This window comes from Homo sapiens (genome assembly GCF_000001405.40).
Source record: "Homo sapiens chromosome 4 unlocalized genomic scaffold, GRCh38.p14 Primary Assembly HSCHR4_RANDOM_CTG4".
NCBI lineage: Eukaryota > Metazoa > Chordata > Mammalia > Primates > Hominidae > Homo > Homo sapiens.
The window spans coordinates 160,361-179,665 of NT_113793.3; the positions used below are offsets into that span (position 1 = coordinate 160,361).

Below are 19,305 nucleotides of genomic sequence, written 5' to 3' on the forward strand. Positions count from 1 at the left end.
TTACGTGTGTTATTTTGAGAACTGTCTGTTCATGTCCTTTGCCCATTTTTAATGGTCTTATTTATTTTTTGCTTGTTGATTTGTTTAGGTCTCTTATGGTTTCTGGATAATAGGCGTTTGCTATATCCATACTTTGTGAATATTTTCTTCCATTCTTTTAGGCTGTCTGTTTAATCCCGCGATAGTTTCTCATGCTGTGCAGAAGCTATTTAGCTAAATTAGATCACACTTGTCAATTTTTGTTATTCTTGCAATTGCTTTTGAGGACTTAGCCATAAATTAATTGACAAATATGATATCCAGAAGAGTATTTCCTAGGTTTTCTTCCAGGATTTTTATAGTCAGAAGATGTACTCTTATGTAAGGAAAGCACAAACATTTTTTTGTTTTGTTTTGAGACAGAGTCTCCATCACCAAGGCTATAGTGCAGTGGTATGATCTTGGCTTACTGCAACCTCTGTCTCCTGGGTTCAAGTGATTCTCCTGCCTCAGCCCCCTGAGTATCTGAGATTACACATGCCTGCCAACACGCCTTGCTAATTTTTGTATTTTTACTAGAGACAGGTTTCATCATGTTGGCCAGGCTGGTCTCAAACTCCTGACGTCAGGTGATTCATCTGCCTCGGCCTCCCCAAATTTTGGGATTACAAGTGTGAGCCACCATGCCTGGCCAAGCACAAAACTTTTAACATAAAAAGGGAAATGAACATTTTAGTGTTTTATTTAATTCATAAAATGCAATTATTTTGGATTCTACTAAATAATAAACATCCATATGTGGCAAAGTGTTTGGATGCCAATCATTCAGTTGTGATTATGGGTGGGAAGAATTGAGATGGTGCAAATAAACTTTTTTTGATTTTTTTTTTTATTTTCAAGATGGAGTCTTGCCCTGTCACCCAGGCTGGAGTGCAGTGGTGCAATCTCAGCTCCTGCAACCTCCGTCTCCCAGGTTCAAGCAATTCTCTGCCTCAGCCTTCCTAGTAGCTGGGATTACAGGTGCCCACCACCACACCAGGCTAATATTTTTTTTGTACTTTTAGTAGAGATGGGGTTTCACCACCTTGGCCAGGCTGATCTTGAACTCCTGACCTCGTGATACACCTGCCTCAGCCTCCCAAAGTGCTGGGATTACAGGCATGAGCCACCACACCTGGCTGGTGCAAAGAAACTTTAAAAGTGGCATGGGCTGGGTGCGGTGGCTCATGCCTGTAATCCCAGCACTTTGAGAGGCTCAGGCAGGCAGATCACAAAGTCAGGAGTTCAAGAAGAGCCTGGCCAATATGGTGAAACCCTGTCTCTACTAAAAATGCAAACATTAGCTGGGTGTAATGGTGGGTGCTTGTAGTCTCAGCTACTCAGGAGGCTGAGGCAGGAGAATCACTTGAACCCGGGAGGTGGAGGTTGCAGTGAGTGGAGATGGCACCAAGACACTCCAGCCTGGGTGACAGAGTGAGACACTGCCTCAAAAAAAAGAAAAAAAAATGTGGTATGAACCACAGCTAAACTACAATCAATTAGAGAGTAAGCCAAAGCATCTCAAAGTATATCATCAGTTATCAGGCAATAACATGCAATTTCTAAAACCTAACTTAAATGCAGCTTTTAAAGACATTTCAAACGTGTCAGTTTAGTCACATTTATTGAATAAAGTTAGCAAATGGATATCTCTTGAAAATGAGAGCTCCAGGGAATTAAAAAATGTAAAGTTCCCATTTCCTTTCTGTGTTAACACAGCTAATTATGATCTTTACTTCACATGCAAAAGTCAACAGAACAACTCAGTGTTTCACCAAATTATAAACAAGAATTACGCTAGACAAATGAAACCCTAAAGAGAAACGGTCATATAACTAACATCAGTCAAGTAGTTCTGGCAGTTATTTGAAGTCTGAGGTTTGAAGTAGGAATTCTTACGGGCATTTGGGGAATATATTTTCTGTTGAGTCCTATACTAGTAAGATTTTCAACACAAGGTGACTCTCGACCTCGCCTTGTAGGAAGAGTGCTGAGAAAATATTTCACCTGCTCTTTCTCCATAAAGAGCTGATACTGATCATTGCTATTTTCTTATTCGATCTGTAAAGATAGCAAAGACAAATGCTTAATATTTCATTTTTCCTTAAATGATTCTTAATGACTTGCAGTTTTTAAAAACTTACCCTGAGAGTAAACCAAATTACCCACTAAATAGTGTTTTCACAGAGAAGATGTGTAAGAGCATACCTGTTGTAAGGAATTATAATTTTAAAATCGTTCTAAAGAAGCACCATTGTTTCTAAGGTGATTTCTACTGAACAAGCAGTTCAAACAAAGTAGACAGGGAAGAGAAATGGCTATCAGTGATGTATGGCTCAACAGGTAAAACTTCCTGCCTTCTAAAATGGCTCTACTTGTAAGATTCTGAAGATTCCATTAGAAATACTTGTATTTAAAGGGTAATAATGTGGGAAAATGAATATATTGATTTGCTTGATTATAAGAACCACTTCACTAGAAATAATTATATCAAAACATCATGTTGTACTCCTTAATGTAGGTTAAGAAAACTAAAATGAACGAAAAAAAATCTAGGAATACTTGTGTTTAGTAAACCAGTTTTAGATTTCACTCTTGTACATTTCACCCATTATCTAGGACCAATTAAACATTTGGCACTGAGGAATAATTCAGAGCAACAACTCCTAGGGGAGAACTAGATTGTCTGGTTGGTGATCAAAAAGAACTAAAGCATCTCTGAAGGCAATTAGCCCCCAACACTGTGACCAAGGCCCTGGAGGTGGGGGCATGTTCTTTCTGCCTTCCACACACCGCTTCAGGCTGAACAAGGTGTTATTTTTTAACCGCTTTGTGAATTACACTTCTTTAAATTCCTGTGATAATTATTCCCTATTTCACAAGGGTGCCTTTCTGTAACATCTTGAATATGTTACACAAATAGTCTTTCTTGAGGCACCCTCTGGTGATAATACTAAAGATCACAATCAAAAACAATTGTGCCCAGAGTAGCAGTACCACTTTACATTTAGGTTGTGATCCACTGAAAAGTAAATTAAACACATTAATATTTCTATTTAGGGAAATTCTGACAAGTAATTTTATAACAAGATCACTTCATTAATTATAAAACTTCAAAAATACTTAGTGAAAAAAACTAATAGATCAGGTTAATTACATGAGACTTTTCAGGAAAAAAAGCCATACAAAAGCAAAAAAAAAAAAAAAAAATGAGAGGAGAGACAAAAACTATCTTTGACTAACATTTTAAAGGTAAAATTATTTACTAACATTATTTTTCAAAATTACATTGTCAAATTAGCATTCACTTCCTTCTAATCTCCTGAAGCCATCTCACTAAAAATTATGCTTTTGAAACAAATTAATGAGCTTAATTCATTTTCTATGAGTGTATGTTTTGACTTACTTAGTTAATTTTTTTGACATGGAACTGTTAGCTTTCAATGCTGCTGCAAAGCCTTCCTTATATTCTTCTAACTCAGTTGTAACCTCTTCATAAGCAGTTTTCATTTTGTAGAATTTACATTCCACATCTTTAAGTGTGAGTTCCTTCTTATTTAGTGAAGCTGTATTATATCCTTGTTTAACTGCTCTAATTGTTTTTTATATTGTGCTTGTTCCTAAAACAGAGGAAAAGAATACACTTTTAAAACAATTATAACCTAATTATTATGTTTGTTGCCTTTCATTTTGAGTCAGTGATTCAAAGAGCATTTTTGAATATGTTAAAAAAGAGGATGAAGTTTAAAATATTTCAGCAATATCAAAACTAATAACTGAATTCAGAATTAAGTCTGATTTGTAAAAATTTGAAATCATAATTATGCTAGTATTAATGTAATCTGGTCATATAAAAAGTAATAGCATCCATTCATAGTTTTAAAAAGTGATCAATGAACACTGTAGCTTAAGACCAATTCATAATTATCACATAATTTCTAAATCACAATTTTTTCCTATGCCAACTGGTCTTAATCATCAAATGACTCCATAATGAGAATCATTACTCTGAAAGATTGATTTTGTTATAATAATAATGGAAATTTAAATATTTAAAAGAAAAAACAGATACCATTTTTTTCTAGAACTCTACAAAGCAGATTGCTACAAGAGAGGCAGAGGAAACACTATATATATATATATATATATATATCCAAAATATAATTTGCAGTGAAATAAATGAAAGCACATTACAAGTAAACTTACCTGATTTAAACAACTCACCTGTAAATGGATTTCTTCTAATTTTTCTACTGCCTGCATTGCCCTTTCATCTAGCTCTGATTTATATTCTTGTAGTTTACTAAGTTCTACCATACTGTTTTCCATATGTGTCTTAAGATTTAATATTTCTTCTTCCAACATCTTTTTATCCTCCTCAAGTTTTTCACATTCCTGTTGTACTTTTTTCATAGATAATAACTTCTGTTGAAAAACTTGATTCTCTTTAGCCAAATTGACACATTTTGAAGATACAGCTTCCTTCTCCACCATAAGATCATCAAACTGCATGAATAAAATAGTATAGCTTGATAATGAAGTAGGCTGAGAATAATCTAATACAAAACCAATAGCAAATTTTGAAATGCATTTACTTGCAATAAAATGTTATCTGTAATGCAGCAGATTCTTCAAATGTGAACCCTTAAATTACTCAGAATTTTAAGAACAAAGTTAAAGCTACCATGAGTCATAAAAATATATTCTTTACTATCACCATCTTTGCCACAGAATTTTTGTACTTCATTTTACTTTTATTTTTCTGATAATTCATTTTTGTTCCTCCTTAAATGGCACAAAGTTATCTCCTAGTAAAAAGTGTCTAACCCCCTTCCTTCATTATTATTCCCCACAATATGTCAAAAAAAGTTTCAGAGATATCATATTGAGTTATTTAGGCCAAAGTCAATAAATGGGTCTAGGAATAAGACTTTGAAAATGATATTACACTCTATATTAGGCATGGTGGCTCATGCCTGTAATCCTAGCACTTTAAAAAGCTGTGGCAGAAAGATCACTTGAGGCCAGGAATTTGAGATCAGTAAGAGCAACATAGTGAGACCCCCCTCTCTACAAAAAAAAAAATTTTTAATTACCCGGGCATGGTGGCTCATGCCTGTAGACCCAGCTAGTTGGGATACTGAGGCAAAAGGATGGCTTGTACCCAGAGTTCAGGGCTGCAGTGAATTATTATCACTGCACTTCTGCCTGGATGACAGACAAAGACCCTATCTCAAAAAAAAATCCACAAAATAATGAAATCTATGATTAAGGATTCTGATGCTATAAGCCTTTCCTTAAACTGCAAATGTTTCATGCTAATTTGAATTGCATTTTAAGAAGTAATGATTCTTGGGGTAAAGACCATAGAATACGGCACCCAGAAATAAATCCACATATTTCCAGCCAACTGATTTTGGACGAACATGCCAAGAACATACGCTGGGGAAAGGACAGCCTCTTCAAATGAATGACACTGGGAAAACTAAATATCCATATGGAGAAGAATGATACTAGCTTCCTATGTAACACCATATAACAACATAAACTCAGAATCGATTGAAGACTGAAATGTAAGGCCCAAAATTATCAAACTACTCTTAGTAAATATAGGGAAAATGCTTGAGGACATTAGTCTGCACAAAGATTTTTATGGGTAAGACATCAGAAGCATAGGCAAACAACAAATCATAGACAAAAGACACTACATTAAGCTAAAGAGCTTCTGTCCAGCAAACAACTGAGCGAAGAGAAAACCTGTAGAATAGGAGAAAATATTGTCAAGCTATTCACCTAATAAGGGACTAATATACAAAATATACAAAAAAACTCAAACAACTTCACAGTAAAAAAAATCTGAGTTTAAAATTGGGCAAAATATCTAACTATACTTTTTTTTAGAAAAAGAAATACAAATAGCCAATAAATAAATTTTAAAATGCTCAGTATCACTAATCCTCAGGGAAATACAAATCAAATCTACAATGTGATATAATCTTGCTTCAATTTGAATAAATTGCTGTCATTGAAAATACAAAAAAATAACAAATGCTGGTGAGGCTCCAGAGAACAGTAAACTCTTACATGCTGTTGGTGGGAAGGTAAATTAGTGCAGCCGCAATAGAGAATAACAGGAGGTTTTCTCAAAAAAACTAATAATGGGACTGCCGAGGGATCCAGCAACCCCACTACCGGGTATTCAGGCAATAGAAAAGAAAACAATAGATCAAAAGGATATCTGTCCTCATATGTTTACTGTAGCACTATCCACAACAGCTTGTGTATGGAATCAACCTACATGTCCATCACCAAATGAATGGACGAAAAACTGTGGCACACAAACACAGTGGAATACTATTCACCGTATAAAGGAATTAAATCCTGTTATTCGTGGCCACGTGGATCAGTCTGACGGATGTTAAGTGCAGACACAGAAAGATAAATACTGCACATTCTTACTCATGTAAGGGAGCTAAAGGAAAATTGAAGGCTGGGCAATATGGCTGATGCCTGTAATTTCCTAGCTCTTTGTAAGACCAAGGCAAGAGAATCATTTGAGGCCAAAAGTTCCAGAGCTCCCTGGGCAACATAGGGAGATATCTCTACAAAGTCAAAAATCAGACATGTGCAATGGTGCATGCCCATAATGCCAGCTGCTCAGGAGACTGAGGTGTGAGGATCAGATGGGCCCAAGAGTTTGAAGCTGTAGTGAACTATGATCAAACCACTGTCTCCAGTCTGGGTGACTACAGTTGCCCAGAGTCCAGACTATACTAGCAAGACCCCGTCTCTTAACAAAAAAAAAGCTCACAGAAGTAGGGGAGGGGAGGCTGGTTAATGGATACAGAATTACAGTTAGATAAGAGGAGTGAGTTCTGGTGTTCTGTGGCATTGTAGGGTGAATATGGTTAACTATGACTTATTGTATATTTTTAAAAAGCCAGAAAATTTTGAATGTTCACAATTCAAAGAAATGAAAAATGGTTGAAGTAGTAAATGTGCTAGTTAGATTGATCATTACACACTATATACATGTATAAAAATATCACTCTATAGCCCACAATTATGTATATATGTGTCAATTAAAACAAAAGAGAAGCTACATTCATCCCATTTAAAAAACAGAATATGGGCCAGCCTTACTGACTTCCTTCTAATGAGTAGAATGTAGTGAAAGGGATACCATGTGGCTTCCCTATCTCAGACTGTTTTCCCTTGGAACCCTGCCCCAATTGTGAGAGCCATCAGGCCACAAAGAGAGCCTGAAAGTGCCTGTGTCAGTGTTCATGCTGCCTGTCCCAACCAAGTTTACAGCCGATGGCCAGCATCAACCATCAAACAAGTGGGTGACCAAAGCTTCAGAGGATTCCATTTCCCCAACTGATCAGCTGTTCCTAGGGAAGCTGAAGGGAGCAGAGACAAGCTGTCTTGGCCAAGTTTTTCCCCAACCACAGGTTCATGAACAAAATAAATGTTTTTCTTTCAAGCCACAAGACTCTGGGTAATTGTTAGGAAAATAAGTTTTAAAAAGAGACAACAGGAAACATAACTTATGCAGCAGAAAAGAGTCTCCTTTAAAGCAGGATCTAATAAAGGTTGATATTTATTGATGTCAAACATTATTGAGAAGCAGTAGATAACCAGGAGAGAGACATAAGCTGCTGAGGAGGAATTTTCCTAAAACAACTTCAATTATGAACTCTGATAACAAGGCAAGGGTGTCTTCTTACAATTTCCCCTCAAGTTAGGAAGTAAGACTGGGAAGCAAGAAGATGTATGATTTGAAAAACAACTAGAAATACTGGGTGACATAGGCAAAATCAGACATTTACCTGATTTCAATTAACTAAAATTCTAAAAGAAGAAGTTTTGAGTATTTATTAATCAACCTAGTATTCAATTTTCATTTTCTTTTCTAAATGAGGAAATAAGGAGAATATTATGGAATGATTTTTATTCTTCACAGAAGTAAAATAAGCATAGTGTGTTTTGAGTGTTAAGACACAAATGCAATTTCTCCTTTACCTTACTCCAAGCTTGTTTGTATGGAGAAGTAAAAACCATCCCATCTCTATGTTATGCCACAATGCTTCTCTATAGCACACAACTTGGCTCTGAAATTTTGAAACTCAAAATACTAATCTACTATGTGTCTCTGATAAATTGCCTGAACGTTACCTGATTTTGAAGTGCTGCACTCCTAAGACTTTTTCTTGGAATGAATTAAACGTTTTATTCCAAGAATCCTCTACTGAGCTAGAAAGCAGAGCTGTGCATCTCTGTTTCAGTAAAAGGAGGTCAATACAGGGAACTGTGGTTTCTGAGAATGCAAGATCTGCACTAAGAAAAGGATTAGCCACAGTGCTACCCAAGAGAACCAGCTACCAGGAGAAAAGAGGGTCTGTAAACTGCAAGATGATGACTTCACTTGATTTCCACTGAGGAAAGCTGGTGGCTCAGACTTAAACTTCTCCTTCCTAGATGGTAAACATCTATGGAAGGTTCTATGAATTATAATGAGTTAGTAAAACATAATGCACTGAATATTAGACTATGTCAGCAGATCCTGTAACCAAAACTTACTGAAAATATAACTATAGTGGGAGGTAATGGAAAAGAGACTAAAGGCTTGAATGGAGAAAAAAAGAAATTAAGTGTGTCTTGTAAGCCTGGCGTCTGATCATGTCTTAGAGGAAGTAAGGTATAAGCTGGCCAGAGACTCCTTTGTGACACAAAAGGTGAAGTTACAGACATTCCACTAAATTTAATTTTTATTATGACATAAGATAACTGGTAATATGCAACATGATTGAAAAAAACTTCTCATTCAATTCGATTGGGCCTTGACATAAGAATAGACATAAACAAGCTAAGAATTGACAATCTAAAAATAAGCCTGCACTTTTACAGTCAATTGATTTTATACAAGCTTAACAAAAGAACAAAATGGGAAAAGAATAGTCTTTTCAACAAATGGTGCTGGGACAACTGGGTATCCATAAGCAAAAAATAAATAAAGTTCGACCAAATATCTTATTTAATAATTAACTCAAAATAAAATAGTTAACTGTAAAAGCTAAAACTATAAAACCCTCAGAAGAAAACACTGGCATAAATCTTTGTGACTGCATTTGCCAGTGTTTTCTTAGCTATGACTCCAAAGGAAAAATGGATTCAATGGACTTCAAAATTGAAAACTGCTGTGCCTCAGAAGACAGTATGAAGAAGTGAAAAGGTAAGACGCCAAGTAGAAGAAAGTATTTGAAAAGCGTGTATCTGATAAGGGACTTACATATATAGGAAATATAAATAACTCTTGCAATTAATAAATAACAAGATAAGCCAATTTTAAAAAATGGGCAAAGATTTTGAATAGATATATCTGCAAAGAAGATATAAAGATGGATAAGCACATTAATAGATGCTTAATGTAATTAGTCATTAGGAAAATGTAAATCAAAACCACATGTGGTATCACTTCACACCACAGGATAAAATCTTTGTTCAAGAAAAAAGAGTGTTAGGAAAAATGTAAAGAAATTAAAACCTTTATCTAATGCTGCTGGGAATGTAAAGTGATGCAGCCACTTTGGAAAACAAACTGGCAGCTCCTTAAAGGGTTAAGCATGAAGTTACCATATGACACAGAAATTCCAGTCATAAGTATATACTCCAGAAAAATAAAAACATACGCAAACACAAAAACTCATACATAAATGTTTACAGCAGCATTATTAATAGTAGTCAAAAGGTGGAAAGAACCAGAACGTCTGTCACCTTTGGGTGGGAGAGAACCCAAAGGTCCATCACCTGGCGAATGGATAAATAAAATGTTTGATGTATCCATACAATGGAATATTACTCAGCAATAAGAAGAAATTAAGTACAGATACCGTATTAGGAGGAGACAGCAAAATGCCTAGGCAGATACGGAAGGGTCCCCGGAGAATCTCCAACCAGCCCCACAAGTGTTTACACCAGATGTTATGTGCAGATAAGGGAACCTGGACTTGTCTTGCCTGGACATGCCCACAGCAGACCGGAGGCCCACATGCAGTGGGGGGATGGGGTGGAGTCACCAGGAATTCACGCCTTATGCAGAGGAGGAGCCTGGCCGCTTCAGCTCATGTGATCCTGGTATTCAATTGTGAGGTGGAAACCTCTTTGCAGGACCCCTCTCTTTGCTGAGAGCTGTCCTTTCACATAATAAATTCTGCCCTCCTCAATGTGTCTGCATGCTTAATTTTTCCTGGTCACGAGAGAAGAACCCAGATGTAGCTGAACTAAGGAGCAAAAACCCGGCATCAATACCTGCTACAGCACAGATGCAGCATGAAAAATTATGCTAAGTGAAATAAGCCAGTCCCAGCAGACCACTTGCTTTTTATTTCAGAGGCTTATAGGCAAATCTATACAAAGAAGGTGGGTGGTTCCCTAGGGCTGAGGGAGGAAGGGAAAGCTAGTGAAGATGGCTAAATGACGTGGGGTTTGTTTTTAGGGTGATGAAAATGTTCTAAAATTAATTGTAATGATGATGGCATAGCTCTCTGAAAATACTAAAGTTAATGAATTCTATACTTTAAATGAGTGAATTGCATGGCGTGTTCATTATTTCTCAATAAACCTGTTACCCCCCACCCCAAATTAATTTGGTACTAGAGATCTGCAGATAGGTACTGCTTGGTTTCAAATCACTGGCCAGGGTTCAAGGTCTAAGAGAATCAACAACATGTCCTTTTTATAGAAAAAGAGATTTATATTTTACAAGCTATCCTTTTCATTAGTATCAAGTCTGTAAAATTCAATGAAAAATCTTTCTTTCACTGCTTAAAGCACTGACAGATTTATATAGAGGAATAACACCTTGTTTTCCTTGGCCCCAATTTCTATCTAAAGGTCTGGGAAACACACCCTTCAAACTATCAAATCTCATCAGATGGGTTTTATTAACACTTATAATGTGGCTTCCTTTCTAATCTGATTCTGGTGCAGCATCACAGAGAGAAGAAGCTGAAGGAAATCAAAATATTTTACCCCCAAATATATTTTTTGACGTATTTTGAAATGGCTGCTGCAGGGCCAAGAGATTGAAATGGCCCTCATTAAGGTAGCCCAATCTCTCCCCTTCTAGGTCTTCCCAGATCTGGGGAAGATTAACTAAGAGCCTGAGGCATTTAAAGTTTGAAAAGATATATTTACCCTCTATTTTCTCAACATATTTTGGCAGAATTTGGATTTTTCCATTATCAATATTTTCCAAAATGCATGATTTTTAATACCAAAACTGATTTAAAATTACCATACTTTGGAATATAAATTATTCTATAAAGATACATGCATTTGCATGTTCACTGCAGCACTATTCACAATAGTAAAGACATGTAATCAACCCAGATGGACATTATCAGTGATAATGGGATAAAGAAAATGTGGTATATATACACCATGGAATACTATGGAGCCATAAAAATGAATGAGATCATGCTCTTTGCAGGGATATGGATGAACCCGAAGCTGATATCTTCAGCAAACTAATGCAGGAAGAAAAAACCAAACACTGCATCTTCTCACCTATAAGTGGGAGCTGAACGATAAGAACACATGGACTCGGGGAGGGGAACAACAAACACTGGGGCCTGTTGGGGTCAGGAGGGAGAGCATCAAGATCAATAACTAATGCCCACAGGGCTTAATATCTAGGTGATGGATTGATAGGTGCAGCAAACCATCATGGAACACGTTTACCTATATAAGAAACTTGTTGGCCAGACTGGTCTTGAACTCCTGACCTCATGATCTTCCTGCCTTGGCCTCCCAAAGTGCTGGGATTACAGGTGTGGCCACCATGCCTGGTGGCTATTTCTCTTTTTAAATTCTCTCAGGACTCCTAAAATCTCAAAACTTTGACCTAGATTCCCTAATCTACATTTCCAGCTCTGACCATTTTCTTGAGGTCTCTTCCTTCTAGTACACATATTATAGAAAATATTCTCAACCACATGCTCATACATTGCTAATTGGTGCAGATTACTTTTGTAGATATAGTGAATGTTGTCTATTTTATGTTGGTTCTCATTAATGTTACTTTGAGTATACTGTTATTTTCTAATCTCAAAGGGGTACTATCTCACTGTTATGATACTAACCAGTATACTTTGTCCTTTTTTTCTTGCTTTCTTCTTTTTTGGACCAGTATACTTTGTCCCTTTTTTGTTTTTCTTTTTTTCTTTTTTTTGAGATGGAGTCACACTGTGTCATCCAGGCTGGAGTGCAGTGGCACCATCTCGGCTTACTGCAACTTCCACCTCCTGGGTTCAAGTGATTCTCCTACCTCGGCATCCCAAGTAGCTGGGACTACAGGTGCACACCACCACACCTGGCTAATTTTTCTATTTTCAGTAGAGACAGGGTTTCACCATGTTGGCCAGGCTGTTTTTGAACTGCTGACCTCAGGTAATCCACGCACCTCAGCCTCCCAAAGTGTTGGGATTACAGACGTGAACCATGGCACCCAGCCCTCTTTTTCTTTTATGATGAAAACTTTCCCATGAGAATCATATTATCAATTGTTTGCCTTTGTTTTCTTTTAAAGAAATTCCTTTTCCGTAGAGATATGGCATGATGAAAGTCTTGTTCTAAAGTTTCTTTTGGGGGACACTTAACTATGTCATTGGGAAGCTTCAGTAAGTAGAGATCTCCCTTCTTCTCACTCAAGATTCTTCATCTCAAAATGGTGTCCACCAAATGTCTTAATCCAGGTAATCGCTTGTTTAGAAATTCATGAAATAAGAACCTTCTCGAGAAGTTGGAGGCTATTGATTGAGATGGTTTAACGCTGCCCATTATATGTTTTACTCCCAAGGTAGACATCAAAGTGGCTAATAATTCTATGACTGATGTCTAACTCACTTCTATGGGAATCTATACAAAACTTTTTATTTATGAGACAGAGTCTCCCTCTGTTACCCAGCCTGGAGTGCAGTGGCTTGATCACTGTTCACTACAGCCTCAATATTCCAAGCTCAAACGACCCTCCTACCACAGCCTCCCAATGTAGCTGGGACTACAGGCGTGCACCACCATGCCTCAGATAAGTGTTTAATTTTTTTTTTTTTTTTTTTTTTTTTTTTGAGACAGGGTCTCACTATATTGCTCTGGCTGGTCTCAAACTCATGGGCTCAAACGATCCTCCTGCTTCAGCCTTCCAAAACCAGGTGTTTAACTGGGGACTAACATGAAACACTTAGAAGACTACGTGGAACACAGTGAGCTACATAAAATATTTGCTATTAGCATAATAATTTTATTGTATATCTTAACAAAATTGTGTATTTTAGGCAGGTGGCATGCCAATGGAAGTACTCTCCTATAGCTGCACTGAATCATTCTTACCACTGAGAGTTGCAGCAAATGGGGGACATAATTTATAACTTACTTTTCTCTCTGTATGACTCATTAGGCAATGACTATGTATGTACTACAATGTAAACAGCACCTCCTGGATTGAATAGTACATAACTGACATGACCAGCAGAGACAGGCTAAAGACACTGAGCTGAAAACCCTGGACTCTATTGCTAAATCAAGGCTCCTGAATCCGTTCCCTCTGAGCAACTGTTGCTGTGGTGCTGCCTTCACAAGCACTCTGCTGAGCACTCAGATTGAGGGGCTGTGCTATCCATCATCGGACAAGCTGCACCCAGAACTGTTCAGCTGACAAACTGGGAGCAGTCCAGAAATACAGTTCTGCTGCATAGTGAAAAAAGGCCAATTTAGATTCTTTTTCATAGAGAGAAAAACATAAACATGTGATTTAACAAGTCTCCTGTATTAGACTAATTGGTTTAGATTTAATATTTAATTGCTAAAAACACACTTAGAATATAAACCTTACTGTGTCAAGGTCTCAAAGAAGAAATAATTGGTATGGTATAAAGTATTGAATTGTATGCTACAAACTTCTAAGCTAAAATATTTTCAATGTATGCAAGGATAGGTGGCATACATATTATATATTATTCCCCCATTAAGCAAATTTATAATGAGAGAAAATTATCTTCCATAAAAAAGCCATGTAAAATTAAGAACTAAGTTTTTCTGCACAGACTAGACAATGATTGCTAACACATAAGGTCAATGAGAGAACAGTCAGAGAAAGCTTCATGAAAACAATAAATTGTCTGCCACGTCTGAGTGAATGAGGCTAGATGAACAGAAACTGAGAAGGTAGAAAGAATAGCATGAGCAAGATAAGTGCTGAAATCTGCCCAATTAACTCTGAGGATAAGGTCCAATGGCAGAGAAATAAAAACCCATGTCCACATAATAACCTGTAAGTGAATGTTCACAGCAGCATTTTTCATAAGAGCTAAAAAGTGGAAACTAACTTAAAGGTCCATCAACTGATGAATGAATGGAAAACCAGTATAGCCATGGAATAGAACATCATTTAACTATAAGAAGAAATAAACTACCAATGTGTGCTAAAACATTATGCTAAGTGAATTCTGAAAACATTATGCTAAGTGAAAAAGCCAGTCACAGAGGACTATGTATTGTATAACTCTATGTATATGAAATAAGCAGAACAGGCAAACATATGGAGACAAAAGTAGATAGATGGTGGTTGCCTACAACAGAGGTAGGTGGAGGGACATGGAGGAAGGCTGCAGTCATGCCTAGGAGATGTGGGGTTGCTTTTCAGGGTGATGAAAATGCTGTGAATATACTAATAGATACTCAGTTGTACATTTTAAATGGTTGAACTCTCTCAAATGTGAATGATATCTCAGTGAAACTGTTTTTAAAATCCAAAGGCAGGATCAAGATAATTTTCTCAACTCTCAATTTTTGATGTACATGTTATCTCAAATTTAATTATTTCCACAGTTTTATAGTATATTTTAAATAAAAGATAAAGAAAATGCCTAACTTTTCAAATAGTTTGTAAATTAACCTAAAACATGCACTTTTAAAAGAATAGTATAATGGCCTTTCTGTACAAGTTAACCTAGAATCTGTGAAATAAATAGACACAGATTCTGTGTCCACTCACAAAAGTGAAGAAATAAGACAATTTTCTGGAACATTCCATGAAACATTCTTCTCTGATTTAATCTGGCCCGCCTCATCAGAGCAATACAAAAATTACTTAAAAATACTGTTTTAACAGGACAAAAGTCAGTTTTCTATGAGGAATGATGTATAATTCTCAACTTTTCCAAGGGTACATATTGTAAGAGAAAAGATATGCAATGGTTTTTCAAAATGGTAGAATGAAAGTCACTATATAAAAAAATAAGTACATTATAGAGATAGTAAAATGGAAATAATTCATTGTAATGAAAATAAAAAATCAAGCTTCTGCCATAATTAGTATCCTAAAACATGTTATGTAATTCAACTAGCTACAGAATAACAGTTGACATGCTAAGTTCCATACATACTTGACTTTCCACTTGAAATAATTTCTTTTTTGGGACCTGTGTCTCATCCAAATTAATGTGATAATGTGATATGCCTTCCAGTGGAGACTCTAACATAGTTAATTTTTTTAGGCTGTCAGCCGCTTCTTGTTGAAGTTGTCTCACAACCACCTGAGAAAATATTTTTGTTACTGATTTTATAAATTGCCTTATTATTAAATTATGTTAATAATATTTAACTCTAACATACCTACTTTGAAAATTATCACCACACATATCAATTCACCTTCTTTTAATCACATGTACACATTTTTATTTATTACTGAATTCAGTGAGGGATGCACAATATGTTCTCTTCCTGCCAAGTTGGTTTTCTCTTACCTACATAACAGATTCATCCCACCATTCAATCATCTTAGAAGCTCAACTCAACCTCAAAGTTCCTGACATATTCAATCACCTGTTCAAATCCTTCCAACAGATTCCTATCTCAGAATAAAGGTAAAATTCCCATGGCCTTTGAGGTCCTAGGTAAACAGGTCTCTACCTCTCTCTCTGACTTCAAAGCTCCTTCAACTCCCTCCTGTAATTACTCCATTCCCACTGTACGTGAAGCCTGCCACCCCTCAGTCTGAAAATAGGGATCTAATGCCTTACTCATAAATCACAGGCAGCTACAAGTATCTTTGTACTGAACAAAATTATATTCCAATGATAGTCATTGAGCCTTGAAATAAAAATTAGGAGCTAATTATTAATATAAATATTCAAAGTAAACTATAAATACCAGTGGGAAGACTAAACCAAATATAGTTTTGCTAAATATTACCACATGTATCCTAAATTATGATTTTATAACAAGTAGGTGCCTTTGAAACATTACATAGTCATAAAAATATGTAATTTGACATATTTTCAGATTTGTTAAATTAATATGATTAATAACAAAGATATACCAACTAAAATACATAAAAAGCTACTTAAAGCAAGGTATCACAAGACACAGCAATACACTTCAGTTCATCTGGGAAATCTAGAATTAAGTGTTAAAGAAAATCAATTAAATTTTAATTTGAAAATACTCATTTCAGGTGTAAACATTTCCATTTATACTTACATTATGGTCTTAACATGTGGCAACATAAAGTCATTAAAATTATTATTTCAGCAGCACAGAACTATCTACCTTAAAATATGACTCTGTCCCTAATAAAATTTCATAGGTGACACAATGTCTTTTCTCAAAGTAAATCATCTCTCACCTCTACCTTTTATTTCCTAGAAATGAGGCACGTTTCTAAGCTGGTATAGTAAACACGGTTTTCCTTTTTTTTATTAAAACAGCTTTGTTCAAATATAATTTACATACTATAGAATGTATCTGTTTTAACTTAAAGTTAAAAGATTTTTTAGTCCATTTACTGAGTTGTGCAGCCATCTCTACAATCCAACTTTACAGCATTTCCATCACTGCAAGATCCCTCACTCCCATTAGCAGTCACTACCAGCTTTCAGCCCCAGCCCTTTGCAAACATTAGTCTACTTTTTGTCCCTATACGTTTATCTTTTCTGGATGCTTCATGTAAATGGAATTATACAGTATGGTAAACACACTTTTTATCCATTGATTTTTATATTCAACTAAGTTCAACATGTATCCAGAACCAAATGTTTAAATTTTCTTTCTAAAAGTTTGAAAATATTTATCTTCCTTGATACTTACTACTCTTTCTGCTTTCTCTCTCTCATATTGAAAGAGACTTTCTTTTAAATGATCACATTCATTCATTAGCTTCTTATTTTTCTCTTCTAGCATGAGGTCTTTCTTTCCACTCTCAATAAAGCCTCTTTGGATATTAGTTACTATCTCTTTATGATCCTCTTTCTGATGAACATCATCTAGTTGCTGTTCAATGCACGGATTTTCATGTTGGAGATGACATATCCTCTCTTCTACACAGCTCCACTTTCCAGTGGAATTATTCACTTTATCTTCTGCATTTTCATACATCTCTTTCATTTCCTTTATTTGCTGCTGTGTTTGGCTTAGGTCGTTTGGAGAGTTTCTAAAGCCGATGACTTTTTTCTGAGAGTATCTCTTTTCTTACGGAACTTATCTTTTAAGGTATTGAGTTTAATTTGCATTTTAGAAAGTTGTTCAGTAAGAAACTCATTCTTATCTTCTACTTCGGAAATATCAGAACTCATTTTTACTTGTACGGAAACGTCTTGTGTTCACTCTAATGCAAGTTTTAGGTTTCTTTCTGTTTTCACACTTTCACTGTGTTTACTTATAGCAGCAGTCAGTCTAGACTGATGATTCAATTTCAGCTTCCAGTCTTTTGTTGCTTTCTTCTTCCTTCAACAGTTCGGAATTGAGCCTTGTATTCTCAGCTTTGAGATCATTAAGCTCTTGTTGATACCGGAATGCTGTTTTTGTTATCAATTCCTCATTGAGTTTTATATACTTTTCAAGGGCAGCATTTGTTTTTTTAACAATTTTAACGTCCTTAAGATATTTATTTTCTTTTTCCACATTGTCATTTTTCATTGTGCATATTTCCTGTCTGAGTATAGCAATATCTGTCTTCAAAATGCAATTTTCATCCATCAGATCTTTCATTTCTTCCTGATTATGAAAATCCTAAATAAAACAAAAGAAAGTTTTAGCTAGTATGCAATAAAATAACATATCATGATTACCTCCGAAGTTAAAGAGTAACCTGCACATCCATATACTAAAAAGGTTACTGTAAGTGGATATCCAACTGGAGAAAAAGTTGAAGCAAAACTTTGAACCTTATAGAGCATAAGTTCCAAAAAGTTCAGAAATTTATTTAAAGTCAATGAATTTATAAAAGTAAACACACACACACACACACGCACACCAGAGAATTTTTAAGAATTTCAGAATTAGAAAAGCATTTCCCTGAATTACAACAAACTCAAAAGCATAAATTAAAGCATTAACAAATTTGACTAAATTAAAATATATCAAAAAATTGCATTTACACTTTGATATCTAACCCTTACACCACCCTATAGTAAGAACTTTACTTCACATGTATTTGGACAGATAAAATTTCCCAGAGTTACTACAGTTCTATTTCACTGATAACATTCTATTTCAATTTGACTCTTTTAACACTTTTATAGTCAGTTGTAAGAATTACATTTACTAAATCATAAATCTAGACATTATACTAGTCACTCCTATATACATTCATTGATGAACTCATCTAGTTACCAGAATTTTGAAAAAGAAATGTTAAAAATATAAGCAAGATACAGGATTTTCCCCAGGACTTCTGACTCTACTTCTAGTTCTCTGACAGATCACAGTTACTTCTGTGGTGTAAATGTATCAATACGAAAGAAAACTTTTATTTCAAAACACCAATGGTAAATAAGATAAAATTTATAGAGCTCTTCTTAGAATATCATGAGATTATTTGTGATTGCAATAATTTGTTTCCTCTTTATAGTATTAGGTACAGTAATCAATATGAAATAGCGGGAAGTACAAGGAACAATTTTACTGGGAAAAAAATCTTTATCAATAGGTTATCACTAAGTATATATTATGGCATATTATTGTTTTCAAAAGCTCTTTGTAATAAAATAATATCCTATGTGGATGCCAAGATTTATAATAAATATTAATAATTGTACCTGTAAGTGTCATCATTCATTTTTTGAAAATGAGATAACATTTCTGGTTTGTTTTATACCAAAATATTATATATTAAATCAAGAGGATATTATAAGTAACATTGATAAAATAAAGTTTAAAATATAGAATTTTTAACAAAGATTGATTTATCTGATTTGGAGTATTTCTTGTAGTCTTCAGTTTCATCTC

The 19,305-nt window shown here is 35.3% G+C and overlaps 1 pseudogene across 1 annotated transcript; it reads right to left on the reverse strand.

Annotated features, from left to right (window-relative positions):
- Positions 1-1,626: 1,626 nt before the first annotated feature.
- Positions 1,627-17,811, reverse strand: ANKRD20A12P (ankyrin repeat domain 20 family member A12, pseudogene; annotated as a pseudogene). Its single transcript, NR_046228.1, has 5 exons — positions 17,167-17,811; positions 15,465-15,614; positions 4,243-4,524; positions 3,425-3,638; positions 1,627-2,079 (listed from the first exon to the last, which is right to left on the reverse strand). The product of NR_046228.1 is annotated as an ankyrin repeat domain 20 family member A12, pseudogene (transcript).
- Between the last annotated feature and the right edge of the window lie 1,494 nt (positions 17,812-19,305).